Genomic DNA, 19,609 nt, shown 5'->3' with positions numbered 1-19,609 from the left:
CTTAACTAGTAAGGGGGTTGCTTTCAGAATAATGAAAAGGTTTCAGAAGTGGATAGATGTAGTGGCTGCATAACATTATAAATGCTACTGAGTTGTACACTTTAAAACACCAAAATGATGACTTCTATGGTAAGTGGATTTCACCTCAATTAAGAAAAAAAGAGAAAGAATTGGGAAGTGAGGAACCGGAGACAGCCTGTAAGGAAATTATTTCAAGGGGGTTTGCTGAAAAAGAGGAAGGAGAAATAGGGACGGAGGGAGTATAGCAGCGAAGGGGGATGCATGGCCAAGGGAGGGCTTTCCTAACATGGAGAAATGGAAGACAAATCAGCATGCATATCTATGATGGGAGAGGAGCATACTGAGCAGGGGGAACTGCTGGCAGGAGGACCCCGACAGCCTGAGAGGGGATATTGTCTCCCACAAAGGGATCAGAGATGGTTCATCCTCAAAGGGAGAGAAGGCAGGATTCAGGCAGCCAGGTTAAGGCAGTGGTAAGGGCTTGTGGAAATCCTCTTCTACCTGTTTTTTCTTGGGAGATGGGGAGATTTTGTGAGGAAGAGAAGGTATGAAGCAGTCACCCTAGAGAATGGGCAGATGACTGTGCTAGGGAAATAGAGTGGCATTGCTGGGCAGCACCAAAGGCCCACTTGAGGTTCATGGTATAAACTGATGAGACTAATGAGCCTGGTCGTGTGGTTTTCTACCGCCCATTTAGTTGCCTGGGTAAAGGTGGAGAGCTACTGAATTTAATATTTATCCCTAAGTTTCCCCAAAACACATTTGACCACAGAAACCAATTAATAGCCCCAAAGAGCCTACATAAAATGCTAGTCTATGCTTAAACAGATAATAGGGGGTAGGAAAACACTGATTCCTAATTTTCTATCAAGCACAGATATAAATGATAATGGAGGGGCCAGATCTGGAGGCCCTCAGGGGAGCACCCACCAAGGGCAAAGGAGAAAAGATCAGCACAGCTGTCAGAACCTGAGCTTGCAGTCAGATTTCCACTCCATCCAAGTGCTCTTGGGCAAATGAATCTCTCTGAGATGTATCCTAAAATAAGGGAACTATCACCTACCTGCTTTTCAAAAATATTATTAAGATTAATGGTGACAAGCAGTTGGTACCCAGATTCTAGCACATAACAAACTTTCAATCTAAGGGTAATCATCATTATAGCCCCACAGCTCTGCCCAGGTGACCAGGTGAAAGATGATACAGCCAAAATACTATCACCTCCAGGTACTCAACCACCTGTGCACCAGGAGGGCCTCTGGGGATCTCAAAGAGTTAACCCTCCTTGCTCTCAATTTATGGTCAGGAACTCCATCAGTCAAGATACAGTTTGACTCCTTTAGCTTCAGAAAATTGGTCTTTCTAGCTCCTAAATTCATATGCAAGAAATGAAACCCCCTCTACTTCCCATAAAACAGGATATTTCACAAAGCTTTCATGTGTCCCAGTATCATGTTTTTAACTTCTGAAAAAACTTCAGACTCATAGAAAATTACCAAAGCAGAGAGTGCAGAGAGTTCAATACGCTTCACTTGGCTTCCTCTACTGTTAATATCCTACATAACCATAATACAATTACCAAAACCAAGAATATAACACTGATAAATTTATATTAACTACTCTAGACCTTATTTGAATGTTGCTAACTTTGTCTCTAATGTCCTTTTTCTGATGCAGAATCCAATCCAGGGTCCCACATTGCATTTAGTTCTCAAGTCTCCTTAGCCTCCACCAATCTGTGACAGTTCCTCAGTCTTTCTTTGTCTTTCATGACCTTGCCATCTGTGAAGAGGACTGACTAGTCAGGTATTTTGTAGAACTGCCCTTAATTTGGGTTTGTCTGGTGTTTTCTCGTGCTTAGACTGAACTTGTGCATTTTCAGTAAAAATCCCAAAGAAGTGATGTTTTGCCTTTTGCTCTGTGCATCAAAATAAGGAGAACATGTTGACACATCTCATTACTGGTGATGTTATCTTTGATTACTTTATTTGGCTAAAGTAGTGTTTGCTGGGTTTCTCCATCCATATGACGTGTGATGCAAAGTGAAATAGAATTCCAGCCTTTCCTAATAATAGCGGAAATAAGCAGATGTTTTCATCTACGTACAGCAAGTGAGAGGACTTGAACTCAGGTTTTCCAAGTCCAAATGCTGTCTTCATTGTACTCTCATTACTGCATTTGGATGTCTCCCATGAATATTTATCTCAAGTATATTTCAAAGCTTATGTTCCATAAGGAAATGCCACAACAAATCACTCTTATGAGCCCAGGGCTTCTCCAATGAAAGCTACAGTACAAAGTATAAAACACAGTTGTCAGAGAAACAGATATTAACATGAAGATCCCTTGATACATCACAGTGACACAGGAACATTCTCAATGACTGCACTTTATTTGCTGCAAGTACAGAGAACAAATCAGCAGAGAATGAGTCAACCAAGAGAACCAAGAGTCCTCTAATTGACAAAATTTTAAAATAGGACTTGAGGACCAAGAAGAAGAGCTGTAAGAAACACAAGGTAAGTTCTCTTCTGCTCTAGATACTAACGTATATACAAATCTTCAAATCAATTAACTCATCTTAGGCTCTGAAAAGCTCCTTGAGATGGAATTAGAGCACATATTAACATCTCCACCCTACAAATGAATAAAATAAGACATAAAGAGATCAAAGTTTGGTATCTAGAAAGGGAATCAAAATCAAGGTTTTATTTGTTCATTCATTTAACTAGCACTGACTCCCTGCCAACTTTCTATTCTAAGTGCTGGGCATTTGGAGATACTGGAGACCCATGGTCTCTTGACTGGAGGAGTTTAGCTTTCCTCATGCCCTCTGTACAGAGGCCAGAAAGGCAGCACCTCTCCCAACCTCATTCTTCACCTCCTCACCACACAGAGTCCACAGCCATCAGGATTCTACAGAAGCAGGCTGCATCTGTGATGATACTTGGAGAGGAGTATATTTCAATACTCTGTATTTAAAACTTGAACAAAGATCATCATTCTCCTGGTTTATTCTCTTCTGTTTGCCCTTCTCATCAGTACCCAGAGTAGAGCATGTATGAGGGGACTCAAAAAGTTCATGGTAAAAATGAAATTAAAAGATAAAAATACAAAATTTATTTCTTAACATAAGCTCTATCAAGGTCAAGACACTTTTGTAAGTGGTGACATCAGTCATTCAGTGCATCTCTAAAGAACTGAGGGTCCTAGGAATTTAACCATGTCAATGCTGTATTTTTACATTATTAAATGAAGAAAAATGAGTGCCCTCTAAAGATTTTTTTTAAGATTAGGAAACAAAAACAGGCAGAAGGAGCCAAATTAAGACTGCAAGGTGGATGTATAATGGTTTCCCATAGAAACTCTTGCAAAGCTGCCTTTGCTTGATGAGAGGAATGAACTTGTTGTGGTGAAGAAGGACTCTCAGATAAAGCTTTCACAGGTATTTTTCTGCTAAAGCTTTGGCCAACTTTCTCAAAACTCTCATAACAAGCAGATGTTATCATTCTCTGGCCCAGAAAGTCAATAAGCAAACTGCCTTGAGCATCACAAAAAAACGTTGCCATGACCTTTGCTCTTGATCAATCTGCTTTTGCTTTGTCTGGACCACCTCCACCTCTTGCTAGCCATTGCTTTGATTGTGCTTTGTCTTCAGGATTGTACTGGTGAAGCCATGTTTCATCCTCTGTTACAATTCTTCCAATTCTTTTTTTTTTTTCCAAGACAGAGCCTCATTCTGTCACCAAGGCTGGAATGCACTGGCATGATCACAGCTCAAGGCAGCCTCAACCTCCTGGGCTCAGGCAATCCTCCTGCCTCAGCCTGCAGACTAGCTGAGACCACAGGCACATGCCACCATGCCCAGCTAGCTTTTATTATTATTTGTAGAGACAGCATCTCGCTATGTTGCCCAGGCTGGTCTCAAATTCCTAGGCTGAAGCAATTCTCCTGCCTTGGCCTCCCAAAGTGCTCGAATTACAGGCATGAGCCACCGCACTCAGCCTTCTGTTACAATTCTTCAAAGAATGACTTTAGAATCTGGATCTCACTTGTATAAAACTTCCACTGAAAGCTCTGCTCTTATCTGCAGCTGACCTGGGTGCAACAAATTTGGCACCCATTGAGTAGAAAGTTTGTTCAACTTTAATTTTTCAGTCAGATTTGTGTAAGCTGAGCAAAATGAGAAGTCTATGGTGTTGGCTACTGTTTCTGCTGTTAATCATCAGTCCTCTTCAATGAGGGCATGAATAAGATTAATTTTTCCTCACAGATTAATGTGAATGCTCTGCCACTGCAAGTTGCATCTTTACCATCACCTCATTCCTTCTTAAAACCAGTTATCCATTTATAAACTGCTGATTTCTATGAGGCATTGTCCCCATCAACTTTTCATAAAATATAAATGATTTCACCACCCCTCCACCCAAGCTTTACCATAAATCTGATGTGTGTTCTTGCCTCAATTTTAGCAGAATTCATGTGGCTCTGATAGGGGCTTTTTTCAAATTGATGTCCTAACCCTTTTAGTGTCTCAAACTAGATCCTATTGAAACATGTTACAACAAGTTAGTATGAGTTTATTTTTGTGCAAAAAAGTTGAAATGTATGCATAGTTTTTTATATACACATTTCCCATGAAATTTCTGAAGTCCTCGCATATTTTCACATGTAATAAAAGGCCAAACCAGCAAAGAAATTGTTTCAGCACCACACACAGATAAATCAATCGCATTTACATCACTCAACTAACACTTCTTGTGTACTTAATATAGGCCAGGTACAGGGGGAACCAAATTGATGGATTTAAGACAGGCTCAGCCATCCAGAAACCTATACAATTGGTAGGGGCTATGATCACATACACAACAGCCATAAGGGCAGTGCCATTTTGTGTGATACGCCATTGAGTTTTTAACACTTAAAAACTTTAAAAAGTCATAAGCCTTCCTTTTTTTTCTTTTTCATGGCAACATCCACTGACTATACCTCATTATCTATTGTATACATGCCATATATTGTAAATTCAACTCAGAAAGAGGAGTGAGCATAGGGAGGGGTGAAAAAGGCATCTTACAGTTGATCAAAATATAAGGACTGCCATCTCATTTTTAAAAGAAAAAACACAATCTCTAAGAAGAAAGGAAGAAGGAAAGAAAGGAGGGAAGGAAGGAAGGAGGGAGGGAGGGAGAGGAGGGGGGGAAGGGGGGAGGGGGGAAAGGGGGAAGGGAGGGGAGGGAGGGAAGGGAGGGAGTCCATTCAGCTAAGGAGAGTCTCAAGGAGGAAGTAGCTTCTGAGGAAGACCTAGAAGGACAGAAGATTTCTAGCAGGGGAGTAAGTGTGAGGGAGCACTCCTGGTGCAGCAGTGGATCAAGAAAAGTGACAAAGGGGAAAGAAAGTACAAGACATGCCCTAGAAACTAAGAATACAATGTATTGGGGAAGGAATACACAGGGCAGTGGTTGTTTTATCACATGTGTGCCTTGGAGTCACCTTGGGATGCTTATGAACTATCCTGTGCCCCACTCCCAGGGATTCCAATTCAAGAGATCGAAAGTGTGGATCCTGGGCATCCACAGGTATACCCGGATCTTGGATGACATTTGCAGAATCAGTAGTAAAGGGGCATGGAGAGAGGCCTGGCAGGAGAGGAGGCCAAGCTTGGCTATAGGACATGGACTTCATGGGGGAGGGATAGCACAAACAAGTGTCATGCAATTGCCATGATGAGAATTATACTTGAGGAGGGTGATTCTCAAAGTACGGTCCCCAGACCAATAGCAGCAGCAGCATCTGGAAACTTGTTAGGAAATGCAAATTCTCAAACCCCACCTCAAATCCACTCAATCAACTCTTGGTAGCAGGGGAGCCATGAGGGGATCCAGCAATCTGTGTTTTAACAAACCCTCCAGTAATTGTGATGCCTACACGTGTTTGAGAAGCACCACTCTGAGTTCACACTGGTACTGATGTATGATGGCCAAAATTCTATTAAAACTCCCACCAACTCCATCCCCAGGAAATCTGCATTATTATTGATGTTATTGTTATTCAGCCCTTCCTTCCTCAAAACATGGAGAACAGACTTAAACCAGTATATATTTGGATTACTTATTCATCTGCTTTATAAATCACTAACATTCAATGTTTGACCAAGGTTCTGTAAATGTATTAAAAGGAAAGTGTTAAGTCAGTACTTCTCAAACTTTAACATGCACACAAATCACCTGGAGATCTTGTTAAAATGCAGGTCCGCATCTGTAAGTTCTGAAGCAGGGCCTAGGATTCTGCATTTCTAACAAGCTCTCAGGTAGTGATGCTATGCGGCTGGCCTACGGCCCACACTGTGGGTAGCAAGAAATTGCATGGCTCTAGAAATCTAAAAGCTCCTGTCATGGGACACCATCTTCCCACCAGGGGAGCTTTCCTCTCCGATCTGCTCACCCCCACCCCATAATCTACTGCTACAGCCCCAGTGCACACACTTCCCACCCCCACCCACCCATCCCCCTTTCTTCTAATTAGCCTCTGAGTCAATACTTGCATCAGTGCAATCTTCCCCTCCATCCCCTGAGTGAGAAGAGCAGTGAAGCAGGGCTTTCTGTGCCTGTGATGACAGTGGAGGGAATTAATGCACTTCCCCAAGCACTCTCCTTGTACCTCCAGAGAGACTTTTCCAGGTGGGAGGATCCAGTTCATTTGTTTGCAGAGCTAACTATCCATTATTTAAAACATAAACTTATTAGCTTTAGTTTCATTTGAGGCTGCAAATCAATAGGCATTCCTCAGGGCCGGAGGGACCCTTGTCACCCTCCCATGGGTTCCATCCATCGAGAATAGTCAAAATCCCAGCTGGGACCACTGCATTAACTCAATGAAAAAATGTGATGATTGCAGACAGTACATCCCTAACAGGTGGGAATCGAGGTTTCATCTTGCTGTATACCACACCCATTGTCTGCTCATCATATATTTCGTGGTTATGAAACGTTTATGCTAACAAAACTGCAGAGTTGCAGTCCAGACTTAGCTGTAAATATTTATTAACCATGGCCATTCAGCTTCTCTTTGACTTCAGGGCCCATTCTCTGAACTTCCCTGCTGGGTGGTTCAGTCCTCACTCTCTTCACTTCTCCCTAAAACGGTAGTTCTTATATAAGGCTGTTTTATGAAAATCCATACAACTTCTTCAGAACAGCTTAACTAAAATTAATAAAATAGTTCTGGCTGGGCACAGTGGCTCACGCCTGTAATCCTAACACTTTGGGAGGCCAAGGTGGGTGGATCACTTGGACCCAGGAGTTCAAGACCAGCCTGAACAATATGGTGAGCCCTTGTCTCTGCAAAAAATAAAAATAATCCAAGCATGGTGAACTGTGCCTGTAGTCCCAGCTACTCTAGAAGCTGAGGTGGGAGGGTTGCTTGAGCCTGAGAGGTCGAGGTTGCAGCGAGCTAGGATAGTGCCACTCCAGCCTGGGCAACAGAGTAAGATCCTGTCTCAAAAAAAAAAAAAAAACAAAAAAAAAACTTTGAGATACAAACCAAGATTCTTAACATTTCAGTTCGATGTGTGGGAAGTAGCTTTGCCAATGCTCCTTCTGTGCACAAGATCATAAAATGATGAGTTAATCACTAGGGGATATTTACCACAAATAGTGTCAGATGATATACTGTAAAATTTATGCAGCTAAAAGCTCCAGTGTACAATATAATCTAAAGAGATGGCTCAGATGTTCTGGACTTATTAGGCCAGTGCCACTGTTTATTACAAGGAAGCCTAATATTATAATACGGTCTCTTTGAACACTTCCTGCTGAAAAAAATAAAGCTATTCATATATATATATGTATGTATGTATGTATGTATGTATGTATGTATGTATGTATGTATGTATAACATTTTTTTTAAAGACAGTCTTGCTCTGTTGCCCAGGCTGGAGTGTAGTGGCATGATCTTGGCTCACTGCAACCTCCGCTTCCTGGGTTCAAACGATTCTCCCACCTCAGCCTCCCGAGTAGCTAGGGTTACAAGCGTGTGCCACCATGCCCAGCTAATTTTTGTATTTTTTAGTGGAGATGGGGTTTCACTATGTTGACCAGGCTGGTCTCAAACTCCTGACCTCAAGTGATCCGCCCACCTCGGCCTCCCAAAGTGCTGGGATTACAGGTGTGAGCCACTGTACTCGACCCATATTATATTTAATGCATACACTCAAAAAAAGAGAAAAAAAGATAGCACTATTCTGATGAAGGACGGGGGGAAATCCCAAAGAGTAATAAATCTGACTATAAGGAAAAGACGAGGGAAAACAGGCCAAGAATAGAAATACATTGTGCCTACAAAATGGATCCAAGAACCACCAACATATCCATAGTGTAAGCAGAAACCATCAAGTATAAAGATTGGCTGATAAAAATGTCAAGGTATCATTATAATTAGAGAGCTATCCACCAGGCTCATTACTCAATTCTCATAAAGCTTGCCACTCAACACCAAAGAGAAAATCATTTTTTTGGTTAGCCATTTTATTTCTAAGTTGAGAGGAAAATGTAAAGGAAAACCATAAAGAAATGTAGGGAGGCGGGGCATGGTGGCTCATGCCTGTAATCCCAGCACTTTGGGAAGCTGAGGCAGGTGAATTACTTGAGGTCAGGAGTTCGAGACCAGCCTGGCCAACACAATGAAACCCTGTCTCTACTAAAAATACAAAAATTAGCCAGGCACAGTGGCAAGTGCCTGTGGTCCCAGCTACTCAGGGGGCTGAGGCAGAGTTGCAGTGAGCCAAGATCACACCACGACATTCCAGCCTGGGTGACAGAGCCAGACCCTATCCCAAACACCCCACCCCACCCAAAAAAAAAAAAAAGCTAGGAATGCAACATACTGACATAAAGGGCCAGAACAGCCCAGGCTCTTTTCCAGCTCCCCCTAGAAACAGGATGTCCTTCAATGCTTTAGCCCAGCAAGGCACATTGCACTAGGATATAAAATCTTGGTCAGGCTGCTTTCTGGGGTCCCTCAGCTGCCATCCAAGTGGGTTATACACAAACAAGCCTCCATCCACCCCAGGTAACTTTCCTGAACTACAGAAGAATGGTTTGCAATGAATCCTAGGCTCCTGTGGTCCCTCGCTGCCTATATGTAAGGAATAAATCCAACTCATGAAACTTGTTTGTTACGAGGCGAGGTTGTTACGTTGGGGTGTTCTATCTCACTGGATTCAGACTCAGTGGTGACCAGTGTGCAGTGAACCTGCTTCACACAGACCCAGACACAGCAGAGCCCCAAAGGCGATTAAACTTTCCAAGAGGACAGGGCCTTGTCTGCCATCTCCTCTAGCATACCTACCTCCTAGTGCCCAGACCCCATGCCAGGCCTCTGGTATTAATTCAATGTCTCCAGAGAAACAAGTGAAAGATTCCACAGGCCTCTCAGCATATGAACCACAGTGAGTAATTAATCTGTGTAAAGACATCAGGCGGTGTCTGTTCATTTATTCAACTAATATTTATGAAAGCCTATTCTAGGTGCCAGGTCATACCAGCCAACAAAATTAAGACCCTGCCCTCATTGGTCTGATATTCTAGTTGAGAAAGCAAACAATAAACACAATATATATGACCTATAGCGAATATTGTTATAAAGAAAACCAAAGCAGAAAAAGAGGGATAGGAACCAGGTGTGGTGGCTCACGCCTGTAATCCCAGCACTTTGGGAGGCTGAGGTGGACGGATCACTTGAGGTCAGGAGTTTGAGACTAGCCTGGCCAACATGGCAAAACCCTGTCTCTACTAAAAATATAAAAAATTAGCTGGGCGTGGTGGTGGGCACCTGTAATACCAGCTACTCAGGAGGCTGAGGCACAAGAATCGCTGGAACCCAAGAGGCGAAGGTTGCAGTGAGCTGAGATTGTGTCACTGCACTCCAGCCTGGGCGACAGACTGAAACTGTGTAGAAAAGAAACAAAAAACAAAACGACAGAAGGACAGAAGGAAGGAAGGAAAAGAAAATCAAAGCAGGAAAAGAGGGATGGGGAGCTCCCTAGAGTAGGATGGTTACAGAGGAAATCTCTAGTGAACATTTGAGCAGAAACCCGAGGATGTGAGAAATGCAGCCATGAGATGTTGGAGGGAAAAGCATCACCAGGCAGAGGTAACAGCAATGGCAAAGCCCCTGCAAGGAGGCCAGATGCAGAGACAGTGGATGGAATAAAAGACATGGCTGAAAGTCGGGGGCAGGTCATGCAAGGCAATTATTCTTCAAGCTGGGGATCATAACCCACTCGTGAGTCATGAAATCAATTTAGTAGGTGATAACCAGCACCTTTAAAATGAAATAGAACAGAATAAAACAGAAAATACCAGTGTGCAGCGCCTACAGTGAGGCTAAGTACTATTTGGTGAAACTTGGATGATACTGGGTGGGAGGCAGGGTGGGGGGTGTCATGCGCATGCTGTGTGCCTGTGCGGCAGTGCCACATAAAATCTGCTTCTTTTACTGAACTACGATCAGAAAGTTTGAAAAACGTGAATGTAGTACTTTACAGATCTGTATTGTCCGATGTTGTATGTGCCAGCCACATATGGCTATTTAAATTTAAATTAATAAAGATTGAACAAAATTTAAAATTTAATTTCTCAGTTGCATTAACCACATTTCAAGAGCTGAATAGCCACATGTGGCTGGTGGCTTCTGTATTGGACAACACAGATAGAACATTTCCATCAAATGCAGAAAGTTCTCTTGAGGAGCAAGTTACAGAGCATTCTCTTTGAGTCTGTGACCCCTCTAATGTCACCTGATAAAATTACAGGTGTGTGCAGGATGAGCAGATGAATGAGTTTTCTGAATAGAAGGCTCTGAATTTATATTGCCTCATAATCCAGCTGGCATCCAGCTGAAGGTAAAACCAAAATATACTGAAAATCACGGAGTCCTACCAGCCATAGGCATGTGCTGGTAAGAGTTAGTTGGCTTTAATTTCATTCTCCATAAAGTGACTATTACTAAATAACCATCCCTTGTTTGTTTTGAATCACGGATGTCCCTTACAATCCAAAGAGAATTGGTTCCAGGGCCCCTAAGGATACCGAAGTCCACAGATGCTCAAGTCCCTTATATAAAATGGTGTAGTATTTGCATATAACCTACACACATCCTCCCATATGGTTTAAATCATATCTACATTATTTATAATACCTAATGAAATGTAAATGCTATGTAAATAGCTGTTATCCTGTATTGTTTTCTAATTTGCATTATTTTTATTGTTGTGTTGGTTTTTTTTTTCAAACATTTTTGAGCTGCAAGTTGGTTGGATCTGCAGATATGAAGAGCCGACTACATAAAGATTTACTAGGGAAGAAAACTACAAAATCTACAGAATCTCAAAGAAGAGCTGTTCGGGAATGGAACAGCTGACCAATTACAACAGTGTAATAATTAAAAATTCATTTCTTGGCCCTGAGGAAGGTCTGAAACCAAATCCAAGGAACAATAAATACTCCCATATGGAACTCTAACAGTTACCAATGAGCGTTATCTTCAGGAGTCCTGTGGCCCAAGAAGGCGGTGACACATCACATGGAGGGTTTTCAGGACGCGTAACTCAGGGGTGGTCACCTGCCTCAGGACAGTCCTCCCCCTATGGTGTCTGGGGCTGCCTGCTGTTTGAAAAGAGCCTTTTTATTGGTTGGTTGGTTGGTTGATTAGTTTATGACAGGGTCTCATTCTGTCACCCAGCCTGCAGTGCAGTGGTGTGATTACATCCCACTGCAGCCTTGACATCCCTGGTCTTTTAAATACTGATAAGTCCGCTTGAATCCAGGAGGCAGAGGTTGCAGTGAACCGAGATCACGCCACTGCACTCCAGTGAGCCGAGATCACACCACTGCACTCCAACCTAGGCAACAAGAGTGAAACTCCGTCTCAAAAAAATAAATAAATAAAAATAAATGCTGATAAGTCATCAGTGTTTGCTGGCTTCTTCATTTTGGCTCTCTCTCATGGCAACAATATAAAGGAAAAAAGCTCAAGGATATAAGGGTCCCATCTTGGGCTCTGACTTGCCATGTAGCTTACTTAGGAAGGTAAAATGACCGTATCCACCTGCGCAGTACAGACCAAGAAGAGGACACAGGCTTGGCTGTTCCACTCGGGTATCCTAAACAGATGCTGCTTCCTCTCAGAACCAGAAGGAGCAGTGTTTGAGTTCACGCCTTCCACTGCAACAGGACCTTGGCCCCCACTTTCAACTTCAGGCCTGGGTGACACATTTGTTTGCTGGTCCAAGTAGAGGCAGGATCCCCAATGAGCATGTTCCCCAGGGACAGTACAGCGACACATTCTGAAGCCAAATTCAGAACTGGTAGCCTGATCCCTAAGACTGACAATGGGATGGAATATTAAGGACTCTGAAAATCCATAACATATAGGCACCATATTCATGAAACTCAGTTGCACCTTATGCAATCCACTGTCAAATACCGTGCCCAAAACATGGTGGGCACTAGATCAATATTTGGAATGAATAAAGTAATGAATGATTGAATATGAAATGTCTAACGCCCTGAACTAGCCAAACACAACTTCACTTCTCTTTCTGAACTGGAGCAAGAAGCAGGGAAAGGTAGACTTGGCTTATCTAGTATTTCACCAGTTTTACCAATAATGCACAGAGGAAAGAAATCACCAAGGAAGAGTCATTGATTTGGCAACATTAAATGTCAGACATCCAAAAACACTATAAAAATTAAAACGCAAATGACAAATTGCCTTTTCACAGGGAAAAAATATCTGCAACATATGATAAAGACAGTATTATGGCTCTATAAAGAGGTCCTGACATCAAAACGATATAGTATATTAACAGGAAAATGGGGAAAGGACATGAATAGGTCTCTCTCTCTCTCACACACACTCACTCACACACTCTCTCTCCTCACAAATAGCTAATAAACACATGATAAAAACACATTATTTATTCGATTACCTCTCCACTAGTAATCAAAGTAATGTACATTAAAACAATAATACAATACCCTTTTCAACTACCAAATTGGGAAAGGTCGCTTGTTGTTGTTTTGCTTTTTAATACCAATACCCAACATTGCAAGGGTGTGAAGGAATATGTTCCCTGCTACATTGCCCATATATACTTAACGGAAGATAATTTGATAAAGTGTGCCAATCGCCTTAAAAATGTGCACTCCGTTTGATCCAGTACCTCTATTCCAGGAATTTATTCAAAGAAATAATCAAAGATGTAACCAATGATTTATATGAAAGACATCCATCACATGTTTATGGCAGGGGAAAACAGAAGTCACCTATAAATCCATCACTAGAAAGAAGGTTAAGTGAACTGTATTACAAGCTGGTAATAGATACTATGCATCACATCTTTAAAAGTCCTTTTATAAGATTATCTAATCATCCATGGAATATTCACTTCATAAATTACGATATTATATACTTCGTGCTAGATCCATACTGCACATAGCTTAATTTTCGTATGATTCTGAAGGCACTTAGGGATGTTGCAGGACTGATTTATAATGATCTTCATAACTACAAACTATAATTTTAATAGACTTCTAGGCTTGTGTACTAATTAGAAGTAGCAGTTAATAAAAATACTAGGCAGCAGGTTTACTGAATGAAGAAATGATGTCACAGATGCTTTGACAATGGCTATCTCAGAGTTTCCCAGGAGACTTCCAAGAAATGTATTCTGTGTTTCCATAAACATCTAGGTCCTGGAGATTCCAATTCTTACACATCCTCAGACACAAATCCTTTGTCAGATCCCTGCTCTAATCTTCTTTTTCTGAATGTGAACACCTTCACCAGAGACCCTAGACAGATTCAGGTGTTCTCACCCTCCATAAGACAGTCTAAAAGGACAGGTATGCAGAGACGGATGCAGCACTGGACCTCGGTGTGCTATAGAAGTCCACTTCAGCAGTTCATGCAGACCTCTTAACATGTTAAGATTTTCATTATAATTGTCACTTTCTTTGTTCCTCCATGCCTAAAACAATGTCTTTTCTGTTCATAAGAACAAATAATAATTTATCCAAAAAATAAGTAGAGATAATTAATTACATAGACTGTACTATAATTAAAAATAAAACAGACCAAAGTCAACATAAGTTTTAAACATTGAGATATCGTGGTAGCATAACAATCCTAACTTAGGATTGTTAAGGGGGACACATCTTGAGTTAATTACTCTAAACCCAACAAAAACCATGCTTCATAGGCCACTCACTCTGAAGAATGTTAAGACGTATTGCTTTTTTTTTTTTTTTTAAAGACAGGGTCTCACTCTGTCTCCCCAGCTGGCGCGCAGTGGCATGATCACAGCTCACTGCAGCTTTGAACTCCTGGCTCAAACAATCCTCACACCTTGGCCTCCTAAGTAGCTGGGATTGTAGGTACATGCCACCACGCCCAGCCTTAAGAGGTATTCTTGATTTAAAAAAAAAAAAAAATCTGTGTTCAAATAAGTTTGGGAAGTTCTAGGGTAAACAAAGCAAAGCTAGTTTCTGTGCTGCCCAACTTCTCAAACTTTAGAAAATGAGGGTGAATGGTTTATCTCAGGAAGCAGGTATCTGATGCAGCATTTCCCTAAAACATCTGAAAGTAAAATGCTTTTAAGTACAGGATCTCATGGGATTCATGTTCCCCAGACCTGGCTTTGGAAAATTTTATTCATATTCCCTCTTCAAAAAGCTTCAAATCCACCAAGATCATGTATTTATTACCCTGAAAGTGCAGTATATTCATTAGGACTATAGCTGGAATCAGACTTCCTGGGTCCAAACCCTGTCACTGCCACTTACTAGCTCAGGCAAGTTATTTAACCTCTCTATATCTCAGTTTCCTTGTTTCTAAAAAGAAGAGAAAAATAGCATCTATCCCATAGATTATGATGCGTAAATGTCTGTACTAATATTTAATCCGTTTACATAATACTTCAACAGATTAAGAAATCACAATAACAAGTCAAACAGACACCAGCACATTTAGGAATAAACACAACTGATCCTCACCCAGTGGGAGAAGCTATCCGTTTTCTAATCATGGGTGATCAGCCTGCCATCAGTCATAGAGCAAATGACCAGCACTAATTAATGCAGCCAGCTGGTTAAGCAGTGGTACATTAGCTAAGAGACTCTACTATGCTATCACTGTGTACCTCAATACTAGTTCCAGAGCAGCACCCAGAAACACCATTTCTTGCCTCATGGTAGCATACTCCAGCCCACACAGTCTTATTTATAGCAAGTCTGTAAGGGTGTTAGTAATTCAGGGAATGCCTCTATTAGCAAGATTTAGCCATAAACTTAAGTCTGCAAAACAGCTCCCAAGAACAATACATGTAATTATTTTACAACTTGAATAGATACAACAGGAGTCATTCATATAATACCCAAGAAGACAAGTTTCCAATAGCCACTGGACATAATGTTGGATAAACATATAGATTTTTCTTCCTTTGTAGTTCATATAAAATATTCATGTAAGAAATAGAGCATTAGCTGATTTAAGCATCACCGTTTTTATTGACTATAACACAGACTCAGAATCCTTTAACTCTAATGGAAATTAAATGCTTTGCATTTAAGATGCTTCCTACTCTGACCTTTAAACACTAAAATAACTAGAAGCACCACAAAACAGAAATGAGAATGTTTCACTGATCCGACGCTACATTTCAGACCTGCAATTGTCAGTAGAAAGATGTTTCACCTTCAAGGTCAGAAAGTACAAGACATCCTGTGAGCGGCTAGAATGGAAAGCACTGCTGAACCACAAGAAGAGCCCTCCACAAGGGAGGCAAGAGAAGACTCACATGGAGGATGTCCTGTGTGCTTTACATCCATCGAACCTGAGTCTCCAACTTGGTCTCTTAATAATTCTCAGTGATACTTGAAATAAGAACTGTGCCTGACAACACAGCTAAGCCTTACTTCATACAAACACAATGTTCCTCAAACTGTAAATACACTCCACGATAGCTGGAAAGCACTAGGAGAGCTAACCCTCTTTCAAAGAAAGACTACATCAAACTTGCCTCCGTCATTTAAAAAGCTACCTACAGCTGGGTCCCTGCCATTTGAATTTCACAAATCAGCAAAACAAAAACGAAAAGCTGAACAAAACAAACAAACAAATAAGGTTGGGCAATGACCCAAGAGTTTCCAACTTTTAATTTTGCCAAGCAAGGTCATTTTAGAAATTAAAATAACCACCACCGCCTCAAAAACCCTAACATCCACTAGCCGAGAGGTATGCAATCTGGATGCATGACAATCACCTGTGGAGTTCTGGACCTGCAGCAGGAGCAGGCTGCCCCAGGGATCAGCTTCAGTTGTCTCAGGTGGAGTCAGGATGCCATGATTTCTAAAAGTGCTCCAAGTGGGTCTCATGTGCAGCCAGGATTGAGAACAACAATCACTTCATAAAAGAGATATTTCAAAACCAATAAAGTAAGGCTATCATCTCAGATTAGAGGGTGGTCATTATAAATAAATAAAATTCGGCTTATGAAAAACACCCTATACTAGCTTTGTGTTCCTCGTTTCACCTCTGGCAAAGTAGGATAAACAACCTGTGGACCAGCATTTGGGAACACCTGGTCTAGACTAGCAGACTGCACTTCCCTATCACTCACTCCACTGGGAAGCCCTTACAACCCAGTGTGTGCCTGCTCCACTCCCCTAAACTGGTCCTTCCAAAGCCCACTCCCCTAAACTGGTCCTTGTGTGGCCAAATCCAGTCACTTTTCCTCATTACTCACTTGTACCTCTTTGCAGTATTTCCCAGAGCAGGCTGGTCCTGCCTTCTTGAAACTGTCTTCCTCCTGGCTTCCAAATGCCTTAGCTCTCTCCAAACAATTCACCGTTCCCCAAACACATCTTGCAAATCCCTTCTTTTAGTTTTGCTCATGCTGTTCCCTCTTCCCAGAATTCCATTCTCCCTTCTCCATAGATCCAAATCCTACATCTATTTCAAGGACAAAGTCAAATGCTACCCACCCACTATGCCCATCCGTGTTCCATGCATGGGTCTACAGGGAATCCAGTAGAATATAAAGTGCAGTTTTACTTCCAGTGGGTGAGATGAGGTCATAAGGAAAAAGCCACAAGGTTAAAAGCCATGAAGACTGAAAATGTTGGAAAGCAAAGTATGAGATGGACTGAGGCAGGTGGTTCAGAACCAAGATGGTTAGTAATGTCTGCTGGAGTAAGAAATGTGTTATAAGAACTAATCTAGGTACTACTTCTAACTAGCTTGTGGCAACAGCTACCTCTTTTTTAGTGGTTTTCTAGGCGCTGCCTAGACACAAGAGGAACACGACATCCATTATCTCATTTAACCCTCACAACAGCTCCAGGAGGAATGCATTACCATTCCCACTTACAAATGCGGTCTACACTAACAATGCAGTTAAGAGAGTTGCCCAGGAGCACCTGGCTAACAGGTGACTGAGCTAGGATTTGCACCCACCCTTTTGCAATTCCAAAGCCTGTGATAGATCTCTCTGTTACAGTCTACTGCCTCTTTAATGGTAACTTCTCTAGCCCACTTGCTTTTCTTCTCCAAAAATTGAAGGGTTTGGTCTCAGTGATTCCCATGGTCCACACTCCAAATCTAACATTCTGCATGTTTGTAAAAAGAAAAAAAAATACAGCAGACAGCCATGAACAAAGAAAAATAAAAGAAAGTAAGGCAGTGATAACAGACACAGAGAAACGTCAGAAAAAAAACAAGATGTTCTTTGTGGCCCCCACTAGCCCAGACTCCCTTGTGGATTTTTCTGACTGTTTTAAGTATTTGTCCCACTCTGAGATGGGTATAAGGTAACTTTATATTGTATTGAGTTTTCCTTCCAAATCTCATCTCAAAATGCCCTGAGGACCTAGAGAAAACCATCATGGAAATAAAAGTACAGGCAGGAAAAAAAAAAAAAAAAAAGAGGTGAGAACACATAAGAAAAGCAAGCTGTAGGGTTTTCATTTTAAATTGAGAAAGGGGATGGATGATAATGATCAAATGAAGTCATTCAAAAGGGTGTTTTCCAAAGAAAAAGAATAAATGAGTGAGAAGAGAAAGGAAAAAGTAAGCAGAATGACCTTGATTTAGCAACTGATCTTCACTGATTTCCTGTCACCTTCTTACTTGATTCTGGGGAAAGTCACAATCCACAGTGTGTGACATTAAAGCCTACCCTTAATGAAATTAGTAGATTAGCAAAAATGTCACTGAAGCACAAAGGAGGAGGGAAATATCTTGGAAGAAACGCTACCTCCTTTGTTCTTTATAAAAACCAGCAAGAAAAACAAGAACTCAGAAATATTCAGGATAGCAAATGTCATCTGTTATTGTTTTCTAGAAAAGGTCCTTTAGAGAACAGTAAGTTATGAACCATCACCCTTCTAAGATCTGATGAAGAATTTTGTGAAGCCATCAAATCCAGTACTTTTGTATACTAGGACCTCAAAAACACTGGGGTTTCACAGTGTCAGTGTTGACAGTATTTGGTTTTAGGGACCAAGGCCCAGTTTTGAGACTTTTTCCAAAGACTTTGTAAACGCTTCCAAAAAAAGAAAAAAAACAAATGCACACAGATGCTATGATACCTGTCCCCCCTCCCTCTAGCATCATTCACACCGTTTCTAACCTCTGACTATTGTGTTGTTCTGAAGGAGGAATATTTCCCCACACAAGCAGTTGCTGACTTTTTTTCAAGTGCAGTTTAAGGATACCTAATTTTTTTTTTTTTTTTTTTTTTGAGATGGAGTCGCGCTCTGTCACCCAGGCCGGAGTGCAGTGGCAAAATCTTGGCTCACTGCAGCCTTTGCCTCCTGGATTCAAGTGATTCACCTGCCTCGCCCTCCCGAGTAGCTGGGATTACAGGCATGCGCCACTATGTCCGGCTAATTTTTTTTTTTTTTTTTTTGTATTTTTAGTAGTGATGGGGTTTCACCATGTTGGCCAGGCTGGTCTCAGACTCCGGGCCTCATGTGATCCGTAGAACACTTAATCTTAAAGATGATGTCAGAAATGAGACAACCAACTCCCTAACCAAGGAAAGTCTATATCACTTTGGACATGTGGGACTGGGACAGAGAGGTGCCAAAAAAACTTGCTCACATGAGGCATCTGTGTGTAGGAAGCTTTCCTAAAGGTTTGGGAAGATCTAAAATTTCTGTATACATATATACATGTGTATATATATATATATATATATACACATATACAGAGTATGTATATATATATCTCTAACTTATGGAGAGCGCCATATAAAATATTAGACTTGGAAGATATTAGATATTAGATATCACTGAATCCAATTTTGCTGATGGGGAAACACCACATGATAGGCCCAAAACCAAGATCACGCAGATGCTATGTGACGAAGTCCCCTGCCCAGCAACACTCCCAACTCAGAATTTAGTTCTCTATTCCCGACTGATGCCCAGAGCACCAGTTAGCTACCTGCCTAGCTCCAGAATGTATTAGCTCAGTTTTACATGTTTTAGAAAAGAAGGTACTACAAAAGACATTTTCCAATCTT

At 41.4% G+C, this 19,609-nt stretch overlaps 1 protein-coding gene across 9 annotated transcripts in view, besides 1 other annotated feature; it reads right to left on the bottom strand.

Moving 5' to 3' along the window:
- The window catches only part of KIAA1549L (KIAA1549 like), a 297,995-nt gene that overhangs the window by 246,330 nt on the left and 32,056 nt on the right, over positions 1-19,609 (bottom strand). The window lies entirely within an intron of this gene.
- Positions 15,743-15,912: an enhancer, noted in NCBI's record as "active region_4577". NCBI's record gives its function as "activates an Ori minimal core promoter by ATAC-STARR-seq in GM12878 lymphoblastoid cells {active_cell/tissue: GM12878}" and the evidence as "EXISTENCE:reporter gene assay evidence [ECO:0000049][PMID:35858748]".

The sequence above is a fragment of the Homo sapiens genome, chromosome 11, assembly GCF_000001405.40.
Source record: "Homo sapiens chromosome 11, GRCh38.p14 Primary Assembly".
Lineage (NCBI taxonomy): Eukaryota > Metazoa > Chordata > Mammalia > Primates > Hominidae > Homo > Homo sapiens.
The sequence above is the reverse complement of the archived record's forward strand: the minus strand, read 5'-3'. Positions and strand labels throughout refer to the sequence as shown.